Genomic DNA, 25,138 nt, shown 5'->3' with positions numbered 1-25,138 from the left:
GTGTGTCCCCCCAGAATTCAGATGTTGAGGTACTAACCCTTAGTATTTCAAAATGCATCTGTATTTGGAGATAAGGCCTTTAAATAGGCCGTTAAGGTAAAATGATGGACCCTAATCCAGTATGACTGGTGTGTTTATAAGAGAAGATTAGGACCTAGACACACAGACTGAGGGGCCGCCCATGTGAAGACACAGCAAGAAGGCGCCACCTACAGGCCAAGAAGAGCTGCCTCAGAGGAAGCAACGCTGCTGGCACCTTGATCTAGGACTTCTAGCCTCCAAAACTGTGAGAAAATAAATGTTTTCAACCTCAGTCTGTGGTATTTTGTTGTGGCAACCCAAGCAGACTAATACACTGGCCATGGGCAAGACGCCCTGACCACAGTGATCTTGACAGGGGTGTGGGCGCAGGACATGCTGGGGCATCTTGAAGCTACTGCAGGCCCCACAGAATCTAGAGGGTCCAGAATAAAGTCTTTATCCCTCCATGAGCTATCTCTTTCTGTTGCACATTTTTTTCTGCATTAAAACAGTTTGATTATTTGCCCCATGCCCATATAGGATTCCCTATTCTTCATAAATTTTAAAAAAAAACTCTTTTCATTGATAAACATCAAAACTCTGCAAATAGTCTTTTAAAAATGAACAACAGACATTTCTACTTTGAGGTTCCATGTGTTACCAGAACTCACATTTTAAAGTGCCTAGTATTAGTATGGAAATCACCAAAAGGACTGGCCAGAATTTGAATTAGATGAGAATTTTCTTTCTATCATATCCCTACCTGGTCTGATCATTGCTTCCGTTCTCAGAACATTCTTTCTGTGGATTTCCTTTGCTACTGAGTCAGATACTTTCTTCCTCATTTCTGTTGTTTATGTAACAGATGTTTCTGCTGTGTCTTTTCAAAGACACAGTTTCAACTGCCTTTGCAAAAATTATAACTGAAGAAATTATAACAGTGAAAGAGATCAGACCTAACCGACTCCATCTTGCTTCTAACCTTTAAGCTGTCCTTGTTCATTGCTGGGCATTTGGGAAGGAATTCAGTTCATAGTTTGACTCTGAAACAAAATTAATAATAGCGCTTTCCCGAAAAGACTCCCTTCTTGCCTGGGGACCAGTCTGCCTTTGCAGGACTAACAAGTTAGCTACAAGATTAGAAATTACGGTTTAGGGGTCATGCAGCCTCTGGCTCCAAGAGTCTGAACCGCCCCAAATTGCTTTTGGGGATAGCATCACTATTGTAAAACCTAAGATCAGTGTTTGAGATATTTTGTAGATCCTATACTGGATGGATCAGCTGACACCATCCAGACCGGTAATCTGGGCCAATCAGTTCTGCCATCCCATCTAGGAGTAGAAAACAGCAAGAAAACCTCAGTTCGACCCCCCTAGGATTCCATCTCCAACCTTGACCAATCAGCACTCTGCTTCCTGAGACCCTACCTGCCAAATTATGTTTGTTTGTTTGTGATGGAGTCTCACTCTGTTGCCCAGGCTGGAGTGCAGTGGCACAATCTCAGCTCACTGCAACCTCCGCCTCCTGGGTTCAAGTGAGTCTCCAGCCTCAATCTCCCGAGTACCTGGGTTTACAGGCAAGTGCCACCACGCCCAGCTAATTTTTTGTATTTTTAGTACAGATGGGGTTTCGCCATGTTGGCCAGGCTGGTCTTGAACTCCTGACCTCAGGTGATCCGCCTGCCTCAGCCTCCCAAAGTGCCGGGATTACAAGCGTGAGCCACCACACCCAGCACCAAACTATCTTTAAAAACTCTGATCCCCAAATGCTTGAGGAAACTGATTTAAGTAATAATAAAACTCCCGTCTCCCTCACAGCCAGCTCTGAGTGAAATTACTCTTTCTTCATTGCAATTCCACTGTCTTGACAAATCGGTTCTGTCTAGGCAGCAGGCAAGGTGAACCCTTTGGGCGGTTACATCTTTAAACATTAAATTGAAGAAAGGATGCAAAGCTGTACCTGTTTTGGTTTCTTTTCATTACTGGCATGCTTTTCCCTGCTTTTGATTTGATTTTCAGAGGAAAATTTAAGTTTATAATACAAATTAGAATAATTCATATGTTTAACATTTAAAATTCACTTTTTAAAGTCAAAGCTAGACCTGGGAATAATTTGTAAATAAAATTAAATAAGTTAAATTCACTTTTATTGGAAATAAAAACTTGGTTTGTTTTTGTTTTTGTTTTTATTTTTTTTGAAACAGAGTTTCGCTCTTGTCGCCCAGGCTGGAGAGCAATGGCGCCATCTCGGCTCACCGCAACCTCCGCCTCCCTGGTTCAAGCGATTCTCCTGCCACAGCCTCCCGAGTAGCTGGGATTACAGGCAGGCACCACCACGCCTGGCTAATTTTCTATTTTTAGTAGAGATGGGGTTTCACCATGTTGGTCAGGCTGGTCTCAAACTCCCAATCTCAGGTGATCCACCCGCCTCAGCCTCCCAAAGTGCTGGGATTACAGGCATGAGCCACTGCACCCAGTCAAGACTTGTATTTTAAAAAACTCATTAAGCAATCTCAAAACATTGTTCTTTTAATTGCATTTAGCTGTCTTAGAAGATCATTTAAGCAAACATTTAAGCAAAAAAAAAAAAATCTAAAGACTTGTTTTTACATCAAAACCCACAGAACTACCAGTAGGCACTTCGCCCCTGCCTGTGACTCTGCTGGGGTCACAGGAGTTTTAAACTCCGAAACATTTCCAGAGACTGTCTAGCTCAATGGCTCCCCAGACCAGCTAGTTATCAAACTCCAAGGAGTCAAAAATTACAAAATAAAATCACACTATATTGTAATTATGAAAGAAATGCATGCATGTTAAAGAATTTCAATAGTATGGAAAAATAGCAAGTGAAAAAAAAAATCTCTCCTTCTTCCCCAACAATACTCAGTGGCACGACCCAGAAGAAACCATTGTTACCAATTTCTGGTTTTGGCCCTGATGGTCACAGCATAACTCTCATATACTTATCTTGTTTTATCAGCTTCAGAAGTATCTGTTATTTCCTGAGGATATAGTTTGGATGTTATCCCCTCCAAATCTCATGTTGAATTGTAATCCCCAATATTGGAGGTGGGGCCTGGTTGGAGGTGACTGGATCATGGAGGCAAATTTCTCATGAATGGTTTAGAGCCATTCCCTGGGTGCTGTCCTCCCGATAGTGAGTGAGCGCTCCTGAGATCTGCTTGTGGCACCTCCTCCCCACTCTCTCTTTCGTTCCAACTCTTGCCAAGTGAGACGTCAGCTCCTCTTCACTGGCACCACGCTTCCTGTACAGCCTGCAGAACTGCTAGCCAATTAAACCTCTTTTATTTATAAATCACCTAGCCTCGGGGATATCTTTATAGCAGCACAAGAACGGACTAACACACCTGCTATAAGAAATGGCCAGGCGCAGTGGCTCATGCCTGTATGCCCAGCAATTTGGGAGGCTGAGGCGGGCGGATCACCTGAGGTCCGGAGTTCAAGCCCAGCCTGGCCAACATGGTGAAACCCCATATCTACTAAAAATACAAAAATTAGCTGGGTGTGGTAGTGCACGCCTGTAATCCCAGCTACCCAGGAGGCTGATGCAGGAGAATTGCTTGAACCCAGGAGACAGAGATTGCAGTGAGTCAACATTGTGCCACTGCACTCCTGCCTGGGTGACAAAGTAAGACTGTCTCAAAAATAATAATAATAAGAAGAAGAAGATGAGGAATTTAGTGCATTGATCTGCCTCTCACTTTCTTTTCCTCCATACCTCTCAATTTTTGTTATATTTTTCATTCTTCTAGTATTTACTTGCATAACTTTTTATAATATCCATTGAATTACATTTTTTAATCCATCAGGGCTAGGAAGTTCTAGTGTCTCCCCACTGTATAAAATGGGGAGATGTGGATCCTTATACTGCCCTCCCCTTCTCTCCTCCCTCCTCCCTACCTGCCATTACATTGTGTGATGACTAATTTCATGTGTCAACTTGACTGGGCCACAGGGTGTGCCCAGGTGTTTGGTCAAACACTATTCTGGGTGTGTTTGTGAGGATGTTTTTGGATGATTTATCATTTATCAGTGAACTGAGTAAAGCAGATGACCCTTCCTAATGTGAGTGGGCCTCATCCAATCAGCTGAATAGAACAAAGGCCTGAATGGAACAAAAAGGCTGACCTTCCCCCGCAAAAAAGAGAATTCTGGCTGCCTGACAGCCTTTGAATTCAGACATCAGTTTGTTTCCCTGCCTTTAGACCTACACTGAAATGCAGGCTTTTCTGGGGTGTCCAGCATGTGTGTATACATGGTGGACATATATATATATTCTATTTCTTTGGAATATATATATATATGTATATTTGGAATATATATATGTATATTTGGAATATATATATTCTCTTTCTCTGGAGAACACTAACTAATACACATTGTTATGGTTTAGGACATTTACATTCCATAAGTATAAATTCAGTGACTTGTGTAACGATTAATTCTAAAATTTGAAAACTAAAGCCAGGCACAGTGGCATGCACCTATAGTCTCAACTACTTGAAAGGCTGAGGCAGGAGAATTACTTGAGCCCAGGAGCTCAAGACTAGCCTGGGCAACATAACAAGACCACACCTTTTTAAAAAAAAGCAATAAAAAAATTTTTTTTCCTTTTTTTCTTTTTAGCTGGTACCTTGATCTTGGATATAGTGTTTAAAATACTATTATTTTTATTTGTTTGTTTGTTTGTTTTTGAGATGGAGTTTTCACTCTTGTCGCCCAGGTTGGAGTGCAATGGCACAATCTCAGCTCACTGCAACCTCCGCCTCCTGGGTTCAAGCAATTCTCCTGCTTCAGCCTCCTGAGTAGCTGGGATTACAGGCATCTGCCAACACGCCCGGCTAATTTTTGTATTTTTAGTAGAGACGGGGTTTTGCCATGTTGGCCATGCTGGTCTCGAACTCCTGACCTCAGGTGATCTGCCCACCTCAGCCTCCCAAAGTGCTGGGACTACAGGCATGAGCCACTGCACCCAGGCAAAAATACTACTATTTTTAACAATATATACAACTATATAATGATTGAGTCTTTGGAAAAAGAAATGTAATCTTTCATTGCTGAACTCGAACATTTGAAAGAGAATGGTCAAAATCCTGTACCATTTGCTCAAATATCATACTACATTTTGGTTTGCTTATACTAAAAGCTGGCTTTTAGTATGGTTTGAACATGCCCTCCAAATTTCTAGTGTTGGAAACTTAATCCCCAAATTCATATATTGTTGGTATTTGGAGGTGAGGCCTTTGGGAAGTAATTAGGATTAGATGAGGTCATCAGGATAGGGCCCCCAGGTGGCTTTATAAGAAAAGGAGGAGGCCTGGTGTGGAGGAGGCCTTTGGGAAGTAATTAGGATTAGATGAGGTCATCAGGATAGGGACCCCAGGTGGCTTTATAAGAAAAGGAGGAGGCCGAGTGTGGTGGCTAATGCCTGTAATCCAGTATTTGGGGAGGCCAAGGTGGGCAGATCAGCAGAGGTCAGGAGTTTGAGACCAGCCTGGCCAACATGGTGAAAACCCGTCTCTACTAAAAATACAAATAAATTAGCTGGACATGGTGGTACACGCCTGTAGTCCCAGCTACTCGGGAGGCTGAGGCAGGAGAATCACTTGAACCCAGGAGGCGGAGGTTGCAGTGAGCCAAGATTGTGCCACTGTATTCCAGCCTGGGCAACAGAGCGATACTCTGTCTCAAAAAAAAAAAAGAAAAAGAAAAGAAAAAAAGAAAGAAATAAAAAGAAAAAAGAAAAGGAGGAAAGACCTGAACTGACACACTGACACACACACTCTTGCTGTCCCACCACATGATACCCTCTACCATGTTAAGATGCAGCAAGAAGGCCCTCACAAGATGCCAGTACCATGCTCTTGGACTTCCCAGATTTCAGAACTGTAAGGAATAAATTTCTTTTCTTTATAAATTACCCAGGATATGGTATTCTGTTAGCAACAGAAAACAAACTAAGATACGTTTTTGGCTTGTTTTTCCTGGAGTTTTTAATTGCCTTTCATTTTTTGTGGTTGTTGATAAAAGGGACTATGCTTTTATTGTATCTTTAAGCTCTTCCAGGTTTTTGTTTTGTTTTGTTTTGTTTTTTTCTGAGATGGAGTCTTGCTCTGTCACCCAGGCTGGAGAGCAGTGGCATGATCTTGGCTCACTGCAACTTCTACCTCCTGGGTTCAAGTGATTCTTGTGCCTCACCCTCCGGAGTAGTTGGGATTACAGGCATGCACCACCACGCCTGGCTAATTTTTGTATTTTTTAGTAGAGATGGGGTTTCACCATGTTGGCCAGGCTGGTCTCAAACTCCTGACCTCAAGTGATCTGCCTGCCTTGGCCTCCCAAAGTGCTAGGATTACAGGCATGAGCCACTGTGTCCAGCCTCTTCCAGGTTTTTGTTAATTATATAGTTTGTATAGTATACTCCACATCATTTTGCAGACATTCTACACAGAGCCCTCTCATTTCTTATTTCATGTTTTCTTTAATTTTTACTTTTTGTGGGTACACAGGTGTATATATTTGTAGGGTATAAGAGATGTTTTGATACAGGCATGCAATGCATAATAACCACATCATGGACAATGAGGTATCCATCCCCTGAAGCACTTATCCTTTGTGTTGCAAACAATCCAATTATACTCTTATAGCTATTTTTCTTTCTTTCTATCTTTTTTTTTTTTTTTTTTAGACAGATTCTCACTCTGTCACCCAGGCTGGAGTGCAGTGGTGCAATCTTGGCTCACTGCAATCTCCACCTCCTGGGTTCAAGTGATTCTCCTGCCTCTGCCTCCCAAGTAGCTGGGATTATAGGCACGTGCCACCATACGCAGTTAATTTTTTTGTTTTGTATTTTTAGTAGAGACAGGGTTTCACCATGTTGGCCAGGTTGGTCTCAAACCCCTGACCTCAAGTGATCTGCCTGCCTTGGCTTCCCAACGTGCTGGGATTACAGGTGGGAGCCACCACACCTGTATTTACTTAAAAAAAAAAAAAAAAAAAGAGAGAGAGATGGGGGTCTCACTATGTTGCCCAGGCTGGTCTCGAACTCCTGGGCTCAAGCAATCTTCCCACGTCAGTCTCCCAAAGTGCTGGGATTACAGGTATAGCCCTCTTTTTTTAGTTTTTTTGAGGAATCTTCAAACTGTTCTCCATAATGGTTGTACTAATTTACATTCATACCAACAGCATACAAGCGTTCCCTTTTCAGCTGGGAGTGGTGGCTCATGCCTGTAATCCCAGCACTTTGGGAGGCTGAGGCAGGCAGCTCACCTGAGGTTGGGAGTTCAAGGCTAGCCTGACCAACATGGAGAAACCCCGTCTCTACTAAAAATACAATATTAGCCGGGCATGGTGGCACATGCCTGTAATCCCAGCTACTCAGGAGGCTGAGGCAGGAGAATCACTTGAACCCAGGAGGTGGAGGTTGCAGTGAGCTAAGATCATGCCATTGTACTCCAGCCTGGGCAACAAAAGCAAAACTCTGTCTCAAATAAATAAATAAATAAATAAATAAATAAATAAATAAATAAAATAAAGAGTTCCCTTTTCTCCATCTCCTTGCCAGCATTTGTTATTGCCTGTCTTTTGGATATAAGCCATTTTAACTGGGGTGAGATGATATCTCATTGTCATTTTGATTTACATCTCTCTAATAATCAGTGATGTTTAGCATGTTTTCATATGCCAGTTTGCTATTTGTATGTCTTCTTTTGAGAAATATCTGTTCAAATGTTTTGCCCATTTTTTAAATCAGATTACTAGATTTTTTTCTATTGAAGTTGTTTGAGCTTCTTATATATTCTGGTTATTAATCCCTTGTCAGATGGGTAGTATTTTCTCGCATTCTGTGGGTTGTCTCTTCACTTTGTTGATTGTCTCCTTTGCTGTGCAGAAGCTTTTTAACTTGATGTGATCCCATTTGTCCATTTTTGCTTTGGTTACCTTTGGAGAATTACTCAAGAAATTTTTACCCAGACTAATGTCCTGGAGATTTTCCCCAATGTTTTCTTGTGGTAGTTTCACAGTTTGAGGTCTTGGATTTAAGTCTTTAGTCCATTTTGATTTGATTTTTGTATTTGGTGAGAGATAGGGGTATAGTTTCATTCTTCTGCATAGGGATATCCAGTTTTCCCAGCACCATTTATTGAAGAGATTGTCCTTTCCACAGTGTATGTTTTTGGCACATTTGTCAAAAATGAGTTCACTAGTAATGAGTTCACTGGTGTGAACTCATTTTTGACAAAGGTCAAAGGAGGTGTGTGGATTTGTTTCTGGGTTCTTATTCTGTTCCATTGGTCTGTGTGTCTGTATTTATGCCAGTACCATGCTGTTTTGGTTACTATAGCTCTGTGGTATAATTTGAAGTCAGATAATGTGATTCCCCCAGTTTTGTTTTGTTTTTTTTTTTTTGCTTAGGCTAGCATTGGCTATTCTGGGTCTTTTATGGTTCCATCTTATTCCATGTCTTGATTGTCCAGCTATTGTATCAGCTAGAATTACATTCACTGAAAGTAACTGCAAGAAATACCAACTCACAGTAACAACCAAACAGGACTTTATTTTTTCTCTAGGAATAAAAAGTCTGCAGGCAATCCATCTAGGCCTGTTACTGAGGTTCTATGATGCCTCAGGGATTCACACTCCTTTCGCTCCCCTTACCCATCTATCCCTATAGTGTGACTTCCACTCATGCTCATCACATCATAATTGCAAAATGGATGCTTGCTTCTCAGACGGGGCCCACAGTCCCCAGGCAGGAAGAAGGGGAAGAGTGAAGGGCAAAAGAACTTTCTAAGAGGCTCTCACCCAGTGACTTCTGTTTCATCTTATTGGCCAAAATTGCGTCTAGTAGCCACCCTAGCTGCAAGGGAGTTTGGGAAATGAAGTTTGTAGGTGAATATATCATGCCCTGTAGAAACTGGAGGTTTTAGTAGGGAAGAAGGTAGAAATGAATATTGGGTTAACAACAAGCAAGCAATGGGCTTTTTTTTTTTTTTTTTTTTTTTTTGAGACGGAGTCTCATTCTGTCGCCCAGGCTGGAGTGCAGTGGTGCAATCTTGGCTTACTGCAAGCTCCACCTCCCGGGTTCACGCCATTCTGCTGCCTCAGCCTCTAGAGTAGCTGGGACTACAGGCGCCTGCCACCAAGCCCAGCTAATTTTTTGTATTTTTAGTAGAGACAGGGTTTCACCGTGTTAGCCAGGATGGTCTTGATCTCCTGACCTTGTGATCCATCTGCCTCGGCCTTCCAGAGTGCTGGGATTACAGGCATGAGCCATTGCGCCCAGCCTTTTTTTTTTTTCTTTTTCATTGCATTTCAGGGTTAGTCATGCCTTTTTTTTCTCCCTCAGACTTTAGTGAGCATCAGAAATGTTATTTCTGGCCGGGTGCGGTGGCTCACACCCAGCACTTTGGGAAGCCAAGATGGGTGGATCACTTGAGGTCAGGAGTTTGAGACCAGCCTGTTCAACATATGAAACCCCATCTCTACTAAAAATATAAAAATTAGCCTGGTGTAGTGGCCCACACCTGTAATCCCAGCTACTCAGGAAGCTGGGGCAGGAGAATCACTTGAACTCAGGAGGCAGAAATTGCAGTGAGCCGAGATCAAGCCATTGCACTCCAGCCTGGGTGACAGAGCAAGACTCCATCTCAAAAAAAAAAAAAAAGAAAGAAAAAAACAGTGCTATTTCTTAGAATTCAGATTCCTAGGCCCTATTCTGGCATCCTTGCTTGGGAGCAAACCCCTCACGTGATTATTTTCAGCCAAACTGACACCTGTTCACAGACAAACACATGAGACCACTAGTTAGTTGTGAAATTCAAACCTGAATATGAACTGTTAATAAACTAAGTCAAGGCCAGGCACGGTGGCTCATGCCTGTAATCCCAGCACTTTGAGAGGCCGAAACGGGCAGATCGCCTGTGGTCAAGAGATCGAGACCATCCTGGCCAACATGGTAAAACCCCGTCTCTACTAAAGATACAAAAATTAGCCGGGTGTGGGGGCGTGCGCCTGTAATCCCAGCTACTCGGGAGGCTGAGGCAGGAGAATCTCTTGAACCCGGGAGGCGGAGCTTGCAGTGAGCCAAGATTGCGCCACTGCACTCCAGTCTGGGCGACAGAGTGAGACTCCGTCTCAAAAAATAATAAATAAATAAACTAAATCAAAATAAAATATTAAAATCAAAATAAAAGATTTTCTCATGAATCCTCAAGTTTTGGCACAGGTGGAACCCGAAAACATTAGAATATGAGAAAACAATTAGCAAATTAATTAAGATCTTCGTTTTCATTAATTGTGAAGGCAGTTCTTTTACCTTTTGTGAAGACATTGGAGAACAAGGCAGCTAGAACCTGAGAAGCCGTGATTCTGTAGAGAGGGAAGCCTGGAGAAGGGAGGCTCACTTTTTTTTTTTTGAGATGGAGTCTTGCCCTGTCGCCCAGACTGGAGTACAATGGTGCCATCTTGACTCACTGCAACCACCGCCTCCTGGATTCAAGTGATTCTCCTGCCTCAGCCTCCCAAGTAGCTGGGATTACAGGCGCCTGCCACCACACCTGGCTAATTTTTTGTATCTTTAGTAGAGACGGCGTTTCACCATGTTGGCCAGGCTGGTCTTGAACTCCTGACCTCGTGATCCACCCGCTTCGGCCTCTCACAGTGCTGGGATTACAGGCATGAGCCACTTCAGCCCGCCGGAAGCTGACATTTGCTGCCGCTTTGTTCCACAATGAACTTGCTGCTTTGAAAGCGGTGACTGAGAGGTTGAGACACTGAGCAGAAAAGGAAAGCTAAGAAGCTGAAAAGCTGTTAAAACTTTTTTTAAGGCAGATTCAGGACTGGGACAGTAAAATCTGGGGTACAGAGCCTGCTAGAGGCAGTCCTGGGGCCCTGGAGGGGACTCTGACCTAGGAACAGGTCAACTAAAATAGGGGGAAACCTTAAGTGCAGCCTCGAGCCAGCTCTACCCTTGATGGATACCTGGCTGCCCTGCCCACTGCTGGGGTTACTGAATCAGCGCTTAGTTCATTAGTTTGTTTTTCTTCTCCTTTCTTAGTTTACTATGAGCCAGTGTTTCCGGAGCCACCAAAAAAGCTCAATATAACTCCTGGTGTTTAAGATAAGCACTTGACATGCTTGTTTTCCTTTTACAGCAGCTTAAAATGTGCGTCTGACAGTTTCTAAAACCTAAAACAACACATAGGCTTTTCTGTTTATTTTTATTCTTATTTTTATTTTAAGTTCCGCTTTTCTGTTTTGCTGAGTTTTGTTTGCTTTAATTTTTGTTTTATAGTCTTTGTTAGACTCTATGACAGATGTCTGAAGGCATATGTAGCCAAATTTGTATAGTGGCTCTCACTACTTGGCATGTTTTCAGGTGGCTTTTACTTTGTTCTTTAAACTTTCTAAAGTCCTTTTTGTTTTAAAATGAGGATGAATAATATTTACAAAGAGCTATTTCTAAAGTATGTATTTGCTGGCAAATCTTGACTACGTATCACTGTTTTGGAACCTGCTTTTTCATTTCAGAAGTGTTTTATGTTTGAATGCATCTTTCTTTCTCTCTTTTCTTTCTTTCTTTCTTTCTTTCTTTCTTTCTTTCTTTCTTTCTTTCTTTCTTTCTTTCTTTTTCTTTCTTTTTTTTTTTTTTGAGACGGAATTTCCCTCTGTGGTCCAGACTGGAGTGCAGTGGTGCGATCTCGGCTCACTGCAACCTCCACCCCCCGGGTTCAAGTGATTCTCCTGCCTCAGCCTCCCAAGTAGCTGGGATTACAGGTGCCTGCCACCATGCCCAGCTAATTTTTGTATTTTTAGTAGAGATGGGGTTTTGCCATGTTGGCCAGGCTGGGCTTGAACTTTTGACCTCAGGTGATCCACACGCCTCGGCCTCCCAAAGTGCTGGTATTACAGGCGTGAGCCACCGTGCCGGGCCTGAATGCATGTTTCTTTCTACATTTGCATTTGCATGTACATATGTATATAACAAGTGTCAGGAGTAATGTATATGGTGATTGTCTTGTACTGTGGGTGATTTCTGCTTTTTTCCCCCTATGGTTTCCAGAAGTTTCAGGAGGGTCTGCAGATGCTGGTAAGACCCCCGCCCCAGTTGGTTTCCAGGTTCTTGACACCTTTTCGAGAAAGAATTCAGGGACAAGTCAGAATGAAGGGAAAGGCAAAAAGCTTTTATTGCAAAGTGATAGTATGCACTGAAGAGAGAAGTGCAGGCATGTTTGTGAGAATGAGTCACACAGAGGGAGTTTGGGTTTCTAATTTTATGGGTGTTTCTTTAATTAGGGGGTGAAATAATCATTAGGTATTTTGGAAGAGGGGGGATTTCAGGGACCCCCCACTGTCCCACACCCCCAGGTACCACCCCCTTTCTCCCTGATTTGGGTTTGCACTGAAGAGTCATGGACATGTCACCCTGTCTCTGTTGCCAAGGCTGGAGTGCAGTGGCGTGATCTCGGCTCACTGCAACCTTTGTCTCCTGGGCTCAGGTGATCCTCCCGAGTAGCTGGACTATAGGCGTATGCCACCATGCCCAGCTATTTTTTTTTTTTTTTTTTTGTATTTTTGGTAGAGAAGGGGTTTCACCATATTGCACAGGCTGGTCTCGAACTCCTGACCTCAGGTGATCTGCCCTCCTCAGCCTCCCACAGTGCTGGGATTACAGTCATGAGCCACCAAACCCAGCCTTCTCCTCCTGATTTTGGGTTTTCTGTTATCCCACAGTTTCTTTGCCTAGCTCTTGTTTAAGCTCTTGTGTGGATTCTTCCATCCTCTTGCGAGCACCCAGTGATCTTCCTATCTCATTCCCCCTTCAGAGATTTCCATCCCTTATTCTTAAGGGTTGATGAGGGAGGAGGTCAGTCATCTGTGTCGTCTTCTTGCTGATTTAAGGGCGCTGGCCCTGCCTACCAAAGGATTGGAAATCTCTGGCTGCTGGTCTAAGGATCCCAGGCTGCATTAGCAGGAGAGTCCCATGCTGAGACAGGAATTGGCTGAAATCCTTGCATCACCATCATCTTTACATGGAGTTGCTGTAACCTAGAAGATATAAACTTTATAAGGAAGTTGAATACGCATGGGCCAAATATTTTTATTATTATTATTTTATTTATTTTTTGAGACAGAGTCTCACTCTGTCACCAGGCTGGAGTGCAGTGGTGTGATCTCGGCTCACTGCAACCTCCGCCTCCCAGGTTCAAGCAATTCTCCTGCCTCAGCCTCCTGAGTACCTGGGACTACAGGCGCGTGCCACCATGCCCAGCCAATTTTTGTATTTTTAGTAGAGACAGGGTTTCACCATATTGGCCAGGATGGTCCCAATCTCTTGACCTCATGATCTGCCCGCCTCAGCCTCCCAAAGTGCTGGGATTACAGGTGTGAGCCATCATGCTCGGCCCAATGGGCCAAATACTAACAATAAGATCACCATTAATGGGCCTAAAAGTGGTAAAACCAGGTAACAGAAAGTAGAGCAGCCTTAACGCATTCCCTTTGGAATCGGCCAAAAGGTTTTCCTTTCCAAAGGTGTGAAGCCCTTTTGCTTGGTCAGCTGTGCCTGAATTCCAAAGTGGGGGAAGGTATGGCGAGGCGTGACTGACTCCCAGCTTCCTGTCATGACCTGAACTAGGTTTTCAGGCTGTTTCGGTTGTTGTTTGGATTCCCTTTGGCCAAGAGAGAGATCCATTCTGTTGGGGGCTTCTAATTTTTTTTTTTTTTTTTTTTTTTTAGTTTATATTTTCTCTTTTTTTGTCAACGCATCCCAGAGGCAGTGTTGATGGCCAAGCTTTCATTCTGGCCCATATTGATGCTGGGGTGGCATGCTACAGGCCCTGGGTCCTTCATGTCCCCTAGTGGGACCCCTATGGCCAAGAGACTTAGAGTCAAAAAAACTTATTGCCAATTAAACATGCTAGACAAGATAGGAATGGAGGTGGGCAGGGACTCAAGCTTCAGCCTGTTTTCCCTTTGCTCCCCCTTTCCCTTTTGTGTGCACTTTTAGGTCTGAAGGTTTGTCCTTTCCTGCTGCCTTCTTTTTTGGCTTCGTTTCTACTTTTGCAGGAGCAGGGTTAGGGGACAACTGTGCCCATCTCCTCCTGGGCTTTTCCTTCACAGCCCTCTTGACTGAGCTGACCTTCCTCCTGGGCATGTTGGTGGTGGGGAGGGGGCCTGCCGGGTGCCTACGGGCAATGGCGAAACCAGAGCCTTCTGGAAGCTGGGCTCACCAGCTGCTGCCGCTCCTCCCACCACCCAAGCTGCCGAGACCTGTGGCAGATTTTTTTCCCTCAAGTTTATAGAGCTATCTGTAGTAGCTCACTCATGTATTCTGTAATGAATACCCCACCTTCCCCACCCCTCCATCTGCCACTTTCTTATCTACCGAATTTGATCTTAACTCCTCAAAAAGCTAGCCAAGTCTGGGAGAAAGTTGGAAAGCTTAGGATGGTAAAAGTAATGCTGTTCCAAATGCAACCTTGTATTATTTTTACACTGGAAACAAATCGGAAAAGAATAAAAACAAGAGGCTTTCAAATTAGTAAACTGATGTCTCCAAGTATAAAACACACTTTGATAACTTATTTTTATGTAATCCTGACAAAAATCCAATAGAAAAATATTGTCTTCAAAAACCTAAGGATCAAGGTTTGAAAATATAATCAGATGAGCTTTTCTCTGCTCCTATAGAGCTTGGAATTTCAAAAGGTGCAGAAAACAATCTCTTCTGATGCCCGGAGCCCAAATGAGCAGTAAGAAATGTACTCCTAACACATCTTAGGGCCTATTGTCTTCATCTTCCTTAGAGTCTCCCGTGCTCAACATTTCCCCATCAGCTGCCTCGCTTCATCCTGCTTTTTGTTCAAAGGTTTTTTAAAAAAGGAAATACCATATGCTGAGGGGAAAAAAATTGCAGGGATGTATGCCACACTATAAACAATGGTCTTTGGAATATGAAGGACTTTTACTTTTTTTTCTGAGACAGAGTCTTGCTCTGTTGCCCAGGCTGGAGTGCAGTGGCACCATCTCAGCTCCTCTGCCTCCTGGGTTCAAGTGATTCTCCTGCCTTAGCCTCCCAAGTAGCTGGGATTACAGGCATGTGCCACCACACCCGGCTAATTTTTGTATTTTTAGTAGAGACAGGAATTCACCATGTTGGCCAGACTGGTCTCAAACTCCTGACCTCAGGTGACCTGCCCACCTCGGCTTCCCAAAGTGCTGGGATTACAGGCCTGAGCCACTGCGCCTGGCCGAGGGACTTTTACTTGAACATTTCTGAATTCCTACAATATTTAAATTCAAATAAATGACTTACTTTTGTAAGCAAGAAAAACTAATTTTTATGAAAAGAAAACTGGTAATTATCTTGTTGAAATAAAAGTTATCTAGTCATCCTTATTTTGATAACTTAATGTGAGACAAAATATCCCTATTTCCGTATTTTATATATTTTCATTTTATTAATTTATTTGAGACCAAGTCTTTATCTATCACCCAGGCTGGAGTGTAGTCGTGTGACCATAGCTCACTGCAGGCTTGATCTCCTGAGCTCTAAGAATCCTCCTGCCTCAGCCTCCCAAGTAGCTGGGACCAGAGATGCATGCCACCACACTCACCTAATGTTTTGTAGAGATGAGGTCTGCTATGCTGCTCAGGCAGATCTCAAACTCCTAGGCTCAAGTGATCATCCTGCCTCAGCATCCCAACGTATTGGGATTACAGGTGTGAGCCACCACGCCCAGCCAGTATTTGATTTTTTATTTACTTAGCAAACCAGTATTTTTCACTTTCTTTTTCTACTATGGGAAAAAAATCTACTCTCTAATCTACAAGGTGTGAGGGGGGGAACCTATTTGTAATGTGAAGTAGGCCATTTGCGATTGAAATCTAACAATGAGAAGTTGAGGGGGAATAATCTACTTAAAATAGCATTGCTTAACTTTATACAGAAACAGCAACTTGGTACCAGGACATAAGTTAATATAAGGAACAGGAAGATACCACACAAAGAACCAATTTTAAAATGATCTCTTTTTAATTTCTTAAAAAGCACATTCACAGCACACTCCAAGAATGCCACACAGCAGTGGTTTGCTGCTCTTTGTCAGAATATGTCAGAAAACAAAACAAAAAAAGTTTTAAATGCTAAAGATTTTAAAAATTAGTTCTCTGAAATTTCTGTAAAGCCAGTATCACCAGTCATATAAATCTTTATTTTGGAATCATAAACCTTTCAAAAATGTAATGAGCATCTACCCAAAATTACACCTCTCTGAAATGTAATTAAAAGCTATCCAACAAAAACAAAAATAAATATTTTTCTAGAAAGAACATATTTGGCATTTTAAAATAATGTTAAAAACAGCTTTCTCAAATGTAAATGATGTCTAGATTTTTACTTTCTATTACCAGACAGAAAGTTTGGATCTTTAGTGGTTCCAATCTGACTTCAGTAATAGGAGGCATGATTACATTGAAGTTAATGAACTTTAATCCTAACAAAGCCAATATACTTTTCTAGCACAGTGATTGCTTTTTAAAAGTGGTGTCCAGCACGTACTAAAAACTACTAAGAGTAAGGCCAGATAGCTCAAATTAGTTGATTAATTTGGTATCCAAATTGGGTTTTTTTTTTTTTTTCCTGGAGATGGAGTTTCCCTCTGTCACCTAGGCCGGAGTGCAGTGGCATGATCTCAGCTCACTGCAACCTCTGCCTCCCGGGTTCAAGCGATTCTCCTGTCTCAGCCTCCTGAGAAGCTGAGATTACAGAGAAGTGCCACCACACCCGGCTAATTTTTGTATTTTTAGTAGAGACAGGGTTTCGCCATGTTGCCCAGGCTGGTCTTGAACTCCTGACCTCAAGTGATCCACCCGCCTTGGTCTCCCAAAGTGCTGGGATTACAGGTTTGAGCCATCGTGCCTGGCCCCCAAATTGTTTTATATATACCTTTCATCCTTAGATTTAATATTTCTAATTTGTGATATTTCTCTGAAAATCAATCAAGTACACAGTTCTAGTGAAATATAAACTGAATTTTGCTTCATTAACTAAATTAAAATACGTCAAACATGGTTAAATCTTATATTCTGTCCTTTCAGATAATTTACATTTTATTGATAAATGTAGATTAGCCACACCATGAGTTATATCCTAACCATTTTACCTAAATGTAGAAAAGCTGAAAGTTGACTGGATAGTTAAAAAGCTGTTATATAGTTATCTCTTTCAGAAACCTATGATGCCTTTTCTTAGATATAAGTATGGAAAAAGAATTCTGTTCATTTTCATGATATATCAACAAAAATTACATGACTTATGTCGATTTCTGTCAGCCATTCTGAAACCAAATTTCCATTTGTTCTACCCACTAAAGAGCACACATTTTCCTTTAGAATCACGGCCACAGTCTGGAAACATAATTGAGAAAGGCTAACTCTGGGCCAATAAAATATTCAAGGAAAGACGCAACACAAAACAGGGAGGTGAATAAAGCAAGTATGTTGTAAAATCCTCCCTTGTAAACACATCTGTCCTTTCCTCCCATATTTGGAAGTGTTACCCAAGTTTTAAAAATTATCATCAAGACATTTTACACCACAAGTCACATAAAATTAGGTCTACTTCAGCCAGATAACCTATAGCTGTTAAAGAATTATATTATCCTGTTCATAAGATGAGAGGTAGTGACATTTTATTCTCTCAATGCTGAGCTAAAAATTCCACACATCTGGCACATGGGTTACAAGGGGGAAAAGCACAGAAGCACCATTGCCCACTCCTCAGGTTTTGGTATTTCAAGTCACCCATAACTTCATTTGCTATTGGCAGCTGACAATCACTGCTGTGTTAACACTGAAGCAGTGGGTATTAGTGCTATTCATCATATAGTAGTGGTGGGTCTCCATCATCTTTCAAAAATGAAGCAGCTTTCCTTCCATTCTTCTGAACGTGATCTTCATTCATTTTCTCCAAAGCTTCTATCTACAAAAATAATACATTGAATCCATTTGTCAAAATCCTACTTTTCACAGAAACCATATTTTAGATTGTGCTAGTAATTTTTTTCTTTTTTTGAGATGGAGTCTCACTCTGTCGTCCAGGCTGGAGTGCAGTGGTGCAATCTCGGCTCACTGCAACCTCTGCCTCCTGGGTTCAAGCAATTCTCCTGCCTCAGCCTCCCTAGTAGCTGGGACACATGTGCCACCACGCCAGCTAATTTTTGTATTTTTAGTAAAGACGGGTTTCACTATGTTGCCCAGGCTGGTCTCGAACTCCTGACCTCAGGTGTTCCACCCGCCTTGGCCTCTCAGAGTGCTAGGATTACAGGCGTGAGCCACCGTGTCCAGCCAGTTTTTTTATTTTTTATTTTTTAATGGAGTTTATGTTGCTCAGGCTGGTCTCAAACTCCTGGGCTCAAGAGATCCTCCCTCCTTGGCCTCCCAAAGTGTTGGGATAACAGATATAACAGGAGTGAGCTGCCATGCCTGGCTGAGCCAGTAATTTTTACTCGCTTAAAAACTAGGTTATTCCTAATGATTCTGCCTTTGAGTTGAAATTACTATGTGTGTGTGTGTGTGTGTGTGTGTGTGTGTGTGTGCGTGCATCCAAGTATACACAAATAGTCATACATACATGTATTTTTTTTAACTTGATTGCAAGGGTCAATATTTACTATCTTTATCCAGCTAGCAATTGGAATCATCTATGTTTTGAAATGTATTCTATAAAACATTCCAGAAACAGGAAAAAGAAAACTCTACCATTCATCAAACAACAGTATCACTTACTTACTGAGCAACTGTATTGTGCTGGAAGAATGAATTTACCATCTTTCTGTTATTTCTCTCTAGCCTTAGGCTAGGCCCAGCTTACCCAAACTCAAGTCATCCTGGGGATTTCTGGAACAGACTCAGTAATCACTCTCTGCTTTGGTATAATGTTGGGAATAATTAACTGCTATTTCACCTTTTAGATTTTGTTCAATTTTAAGAGACTTTCTCTGGAGGAAGCTTTTTCATGGTTCTCTAGATCTGATATTATAATAACCGGGTATTTCCAAAGATAGGCACTTCTAACTTTCTATGTTTAGTAAAGGGCAGGGACCACATGTTACTATTTTTTGTATCACTCAGAGTGTTCAACTTCCTCATTCATTAAATAGGGGAAATAGGAGTCTACTGGAAATGTACAGTTTGCCCATCTTAACCAAATGGTGCCCTCCGTGAAGAAATGTTTTGCTGTGTGTGTATTCTGAATTTTAAGTATAGAAAAAAACAGGCCGGGCACAGTGGCTCATGCCTGTAATCTCAGCACTTTGGGAGGCCAAGGTGGGTGGATCCCTTGAGGCCAGGAGTTCAAGACCGGCCTGGCCAACATGGCGAAACCCTGTCTCTACCAAAAATACAAAAATTAGCCAAGCATGGTGGCACACACCTGTAATCCCAGCTACTCAGGAGGCTGAGGCAGGAGAATCGCTTGAACCCAAGAGGCAGAGGTTGCAGTGAGCCAAGATCACGCCACTGCATTCCAGCCTGAGTGACAAACCAAGACTCCATCTCAAAAAAAAAAAGAAAAAAAGAAAAAACCAAAAACATCTTAAGAAAAGAAAAATCTCAAATTAATTTTGTTTTGGGGGAAAGGGAGGATAAAACTAGCTCTGGGTTTCAGTTATCTCCTCTATGCAGTTCTGCATGACCAGCAAGGTGAAAAACAGCTGTTTATCACATACCTCAGCTAAAAAATCAGCTTCATTATCTGCTGTGATGTTTAAGCCTGAAACAGCATTGAAGAGTTCTCGTTCACTAAGGGCTTCCTTGACTCCTCCTTTCTGGAAAAACTAGTAAGGAAATACAAGAAAGTCAGTAAGAAGTATTAGCAATGTTCTCTTATAAACTAAAAACAGGGAGCAGCACATTTATAAAAAGACTTGGATGCATGCACGTGTGCACACGCACACACACACACACACAGTAATTTCAACTCAAAGGCAGAATCATTAGGAATAACCTAGTTTTTAAGAGAGTAAAAATTACTGGCTCAGCCAGGCATGGCGGCTCACTCCTGTTATCCTTGTTATCCCAACACTTTGGGAGGCCAAGGAGGGAGGATCTCTTGAGCCACTACATTCCTTGCCTCATTTCTCAACCATCGATTTTCCTGCTTCCAAGCTGGACTATACTCAGGTTCTAGTTGCTTTTCATCCTCTCACACATCCATCCTGCCTTCTGGATTTAGCTCATACCACTGCACCTTCTATAGCTATAAAAATGAGTGCTATAAATAAAACCACTTGGCATTGCTTTGAATATGTAAAGGAAATACTTTCACTAAACCCCAGAAATTAAAAATTTCAAGCAGGCTCAGAGGTTATTTCCAATATGAAGTTACTCTATCCTTTAGAAAGATCATTGCTATCTGAATCTACTGCCAACAATTCATTTCCCTTAGAAATGCCAAACAAGTGTGACCCAACCCTGTGCTTACTAAATTTTACCATATATATATATATATATATATATATATATATATATATATATATATATATATGTTTTGTTTTTTTAAGAGACAGGGCCTAGCACTGTCATCCAGGCTGGAGTGCAGTGGCACAATCACAGCTCGCTATAATCTTGAACTTCTGGACTCAAACAATCCTCCTGCCTCAGCCTCCCTAGTAAAACAGCCTCCCAGTTAAAGCAGCTAGGACTACAGACATGTTCCACCACACCCAGCTACTTTTTAAATTTTTTTGTAGAGATAGGAGTCTCACTATGTTGCCCAGGCTGGTCTCAAACTCCTGGGCTCAAGCAATCCTCCCTCCCTGGCTTCCCAAAGTGTGAGATTGTAAGCGTGAATCACCATGCCCAGCCACCTAATCTTCTTACCATGCTTCACAGTGACAGTGATCAGACACTGTCCCACAATAGAGACTGTCCCTCTTTTAATGGTAATAATGGCAGCAAGCATACAGGCACACCAGCTTCTGTTTAAGCACTATGCACACATTAAATGTCTACTCGACTGCTTATATACAAGGAGCCAAAACACTCACTTATTCCCTTTAACATTTTTTTTTTTTTTTTTGGAGAAGGAGTCTTGCTCTGTCACCCAGGCTGGAGTGCAATGGCGCAACCTTGGCTCACTGCAACCTCCGATTCCCAGGCTCAAGTGATTCTCCTTCCTCAGCCTCCCAACTAGCTGGGATTACAGGCACACGCTACCGCACCCAACTAATTTTTTTGTATTTTTCGTACAGACAGCGTTTCACCATGTTGGCCGGGCTGGTCTTGAACTCCTGACCTCAGGTGATCCACCCACCTTGGCCTCCCAAAGTGCTGGGATTACAGGCATGAACCACTGCACCTGGCATATTTTTTTTTTTTTTTTTTTGAGACGGAGCCTCACTCTGTTGCCCAGGCTGGGTGGAGTGCAGTAGCACGTTCTTGGCTCACTGCAGCCTCTGCCTCCCAGGTTCAAGTGAGTCTCCTGCCTCAGCCTCCCAAGTAGCTGGGATTACAGGCGCCTGCCACCATGCCCGGCTAATTTTGCATTTTTAGTAGAGATGGGGTTTCACCATGTTGGCCAGGCTGGTCTTGAACCTCTGACATCAAATGATCCACCCACCTCACCCTCCCAAAGTGCTGGGATTACAGGCGTGAGCCACCATACCTGGCACCCCTTGAACATTTTACCCAACTGTAAGACATGGAATCAAATTCTTGCAAAATGAAATATGACAAATTGATCTTTATATCCTTGTCCTGAAAGCAGCCCGTATCCCTTCCTTCAATTTCTAAGAATATGGTCCTCTTACTTATCTTAGGAGTGAGAAAAATACCTGCAGCTGTTACATCCAACAAAAAAAGGCATATTGGTTTACACGTCTACCTGCGAGACATTCCTGCAGTCCCGGAACAAGAACTCCAGGCCGTGAGGGTGGGTAGGTTCTACTGACTGACTGACATCGATCAACCAGACCTATTTCAATACAGAACATGAACTGATGTATTTACATTTTAAATTTTACTTACAGTAATTAAATCTGAATGTTAACAAAATGTGCTCCTCACCTTTCCAGCATGCCACAGCATGTTATACTCACTGAGGTCAGCATGGACAAGCGTACATTCATGATATAACTGCCGCATCAACTGTGAAGAGGGAAGGCACACATTAGGAAATGAATAATTAAGTGGTATTATTGATGATGACACCCCTGAAAGTTTTTTATTTTTTATTTTTTTGGAGACAGAGTCTCACTCTGTCGCCCAGGCTGGAGTGCAGTGGTGTGATCTCAGCTCACTGCAAGCTCCGCCTCCCTGGTTCACACCATTCTCCTGCCTCAGCCTCCCAAGTAGCTCGGACTACAGGCACCCACCACCACTCCTGGCTAATTTTTTGTAATTTTTTTTAGTAGAGATGGGGTTTCACCATGTTAGTTAGGATGGTCTCAATCTCCTGACCTCGTGACCTGCCCACCTCGGCCTCCCAGAGTGCTGGGATTACAGGCGTGAGCACTGCGCCCAGCCCCCCTCAAAGTCTTACAGTAGAAATCAACATTAATGCATTTGTTTTCCAGCCTTAATAGAATTAAATAGAAAAGTTTCATCACTATTTAATCTCTTCCCCAGCCACCCCACCTCCCAAAGAGGCCAGAAAAACATACTTGATTTTCCTTTCAATGTTTACCTTTGGAGGCAGAGAAAGGTGGATCACCTTTCTAGCTATATCTTTAAAAATTAATTTGGATTAAAATTTCCATATCTAGATCAATGGCTGCATTACATGACAGCTTCATGTGGAGATTGCATAAAGTAGCACATTAAGTTTCTCCAGTGTTCAATTAAAACACAGAGGGATAATGGCAGTATTAGGAGCATTGTCTCAACCTGGAAGGCCCTCAGATTGAATTCAGTTGCTATTTCAAAGCATGTAGTTTCCTTGAGATTCCCAACATGCCTTCCAACTTAACACCTGCACTCCCTACTGTTTTCAATTTTCATCATCACTCTCTTATGATGAGACCAGACCTGCTTCCTTTCCTTCACTGTTAAAGCTGTAACATTCAATGGCTGGGTGTGGTGGCTCACACCAGTAATCCCAGCACTTTGGGATGCTGAGGCAAGAGGATCACTTGAGCCCAGGAGTTCGAGACCAGCCTGGGCAACATAGTGAGACCCTGTCTCTTATTTGAAAAAAAAAAAAAAAAAAAAAAGCCCCAAAAAACTATAACATTCATGAAAGCTCACAAACTAATGAGGCACTTTGCTAAATGTACTAACAGCAAATTTTATTTAATGAAGTTTGGTGAAAAATAGCTTCATGCACTGTGTCACTAATCCTAACAATGACGACTTCCCTGGTTAAGTCTGTAAGTTTTCTAAAACTATTTAAGACACACACATATTGATAGAAAAACAACTCTTCAGTGTTAACATTCTTTCACAAACTTCAACTTGTCTTTGTTATAGCACCTTGAAATAGCACTATCTAAGGAACTTGGGTTTTTTTGTTTGTTTTTTAAGACATAGGGTCTTGCTCTATTTCTTGCCCAGGCTGGGGTGCAGTGGCACAATCATAGCTCACTGCTGCCTTAAATTCCTGGGTGCAAGTGATCCTCCCACCTTAGACTCCCGAGTAGCTGGGACTACAGGTGTGTGCCCAGCTAATTTTTAATTTTTTTTTTTTTTTTTTGAGACAGAGTCTTACTCTGTCACCCAGGCTGGAGTGCAGTGGTGCAATCTTGGTTCACTGCAACCTCTACCTCCCTGGTTCAAGCAATTCCCCTGCCTCAGCATCCCGAGTAGCTGGGATTACAGGCACACGCCCAGCTAATTTTTTTGTATTTTTAGTAGAGACAGGGTTTCACCATGTTGCCCAGGCTGGTCTCAAACTCCTGGGCTCAAGTGATCCTACTGCCTGAGCCTCCCAAAGTTCTAGATTACAAGTGTGAGCCAACATGCCTGGCTTCTTTAAGGAAATTTTTTTAAAGTTTAGAGGAAATATTTTTTAAAGGTAGTGTGTGAATTCTTTTAAAAGCACAACTTACATGAAGAGTTTGATAGTAGGCTTCTTTCATTTCTTCACTATTGAGCTTTACTTCTTTTAATTTAGGGGCTGGAACTTGATCATGGCCAATAAAAGACATAACTAAAATGTGTTTCTTCAGTAGTACAACTGTTGGACAAGGAATTCCAGCTCTCTGCATTCTATACATAAAGAAATGATTCAGAATATACAGATCAGAAGGAGAGAAAATATGTCATTTATTCAATAAATATCTAATCAGGGCCTGCAATGAGCTGGCACTATGTTCTACCCTGGTGATGTGGGAATACAAAGACAGTAAAACACAGCCTCTGCCCATAGAGAGCTCAGGGACTGATGGAAATGACAGACAAGAGACAATTACAATTACGCACTGGCAGAGGTATGGGTAGGAGCTACAGGAGCACACAGCACCAAGGATGGCTTATTAGAAGAAGAGGTAGGGAACAGGAATTAGCCAGATAAAGACAGTGCAAGGGAATGCAGGGAGGTGTTCAAGAGCACAGTCCATTTGGGGAATGTATATCAATCAACATAGCTGGATCTGTGAGTAGGAGGAAGGGCAATGTGGGCTGAGGCTACAAAGACAGGCAAGCTCCACTATGGAAAACTGTTGAAGAATTTTAAGAAAGGCAGGAATTTCAGGAGTACAGAAAAGAGACTGGAGGACAGCAAGACCTTCTAGAAAATGATTCTACCTGGAATTAATTAATTTATTGAAAAAACATTTTTTTTTCTTTTTGAGACAAGGTCTTGGGAGTCTAACGTTTCCAGGCTGGTTTTGAACTCCTAGGTTCAAGCAGTCCTCCCATCTCAGCCTCCCAAGTAGCTGGGAGTACACGTGCACACCATGCCTGGCTTATTTTGGTGGGGAACTCTCAGTAGAAGAATTTTGTAACTGATATATATGAATAATTACTTTTGAAAGCAAATATCTTTAGAAAATAACAAACTAAAATTAAGCTTTTAATAAATTAAGATAATAGAAAGGTTTTTAATGAGAAGGATTATTACTGAATTTCTTGGTTGACAAAACAAATTCTTTGA

General features: G+C 42.2%; 1 protein-coding gene across 6 annotated transcripts in view, besides 4 other annotated features; it reads right to left on the bottom strand.

Moving 5' to 3' along the window:
• Positions 271-340: an enhancer, noted in NCBI's record as "active region_13160". NCBI's record gives its function as "activates an Ori minimal core promoter by ATAC-STARR-seq in GM12878 lymphoblastoid cells {active_cell/tissue: GM12878}" and the evidence as "EXISTENCE:reporter gene assay evidence [ECO:0000049][PMID:35858748]".
• Positions 371-440: an enhancer, noted in NCBI's record as "active region_13159". NCBI's record gives its function as "activates an Ori minimal core promoter by ATAC-STARR-seq in GM12878 lymphoblastoid cells {active_cell/tissue: GM12878}" and the evidence as "EXISTENCE:reporter gene assay evidence [ECO:0000049][PMID:35858748]".
• Positions 3,859-3,908: an enhancer, noted in NCBI's record as "active region_13158". NCBI's record gives its function as "activates an Ori minimal core promoter by ATAC-STARR-seq in GM12878 lymphoblastoid cells {active_cell/tissue: GM12878}" and the evidence as "EXISTENCE:reporter gene assay evidence [ECO:0000049][PMID:35858748]".
• Positions 10,788-10,957: an enhancer, noted in NCBI's record as "active region_13157". NCBI's record gives its function as "activates an Ori minimal core promoter by ATAC-STARR-seq in GM12878 lymphoblastoid cells {active_cell/tissue: GM12878}" and the evidence as "EXISTENCE:reporter gene assay evidence [ECO:0000049][PMID:35858748]".
• Positions 16,060-25,138, bottom strand: part of RIOK3 (RIO kinase 3) — a 29,854-nt gene continuing 20,775 nt past the window's right edge. For 4 of the 6 annotated variants that reach the window (NM_003831.5, NM_001348193.2, XM_011526243.2 and 1 more), the window contains 5 exons: positions 24,093-24,252; positions 22,114-22,194; positions 21,932-22,021; positions 19,776-19,883; positions 16,060-18,028 (listed from right to left, as the gene is read on the bottom strand). In NM_003831.5, coding sequence (NP_003822.2) covers positions 17,921-18,028; positions 19,776-19,883; positions 21,932-22,021; positions 22,114-22,194; positions 24,093-24,252 — 547 coding nt within the window. In that variant the 3' untranslated portion in view covers positions 16,060-17,920. Of the gene's footprint in view, positions 18,029-19,775; positions 19,884-21,931; positions 22,044-22,113; positions 22,195-24,092; positions 24,253-25,138 lie in introns of those variants that run through there. The other 2 variants (NR_145477.2, XM_047437912.1) reach the window with 2 other exon arrangements.

The sequence above is a fragment of the Homo sapiens genome, chromosome 18 (genome assembly GCF_000001405.40).
Source record: "Homo sapiens chromosome 18, GRCh38.p14 Primary Assembly".
In the NCBI taxonomy this organism is placed as follows: Eukaryota; Metazoa; Chordata; class Mammalia; order Primates; family Hominidae; genus Homo; species Homo sapiens.
Note: the sequence above shows the minus strand (reverse complement) of the source record. Positions and strands in the feature narration are given on the sequence as shown.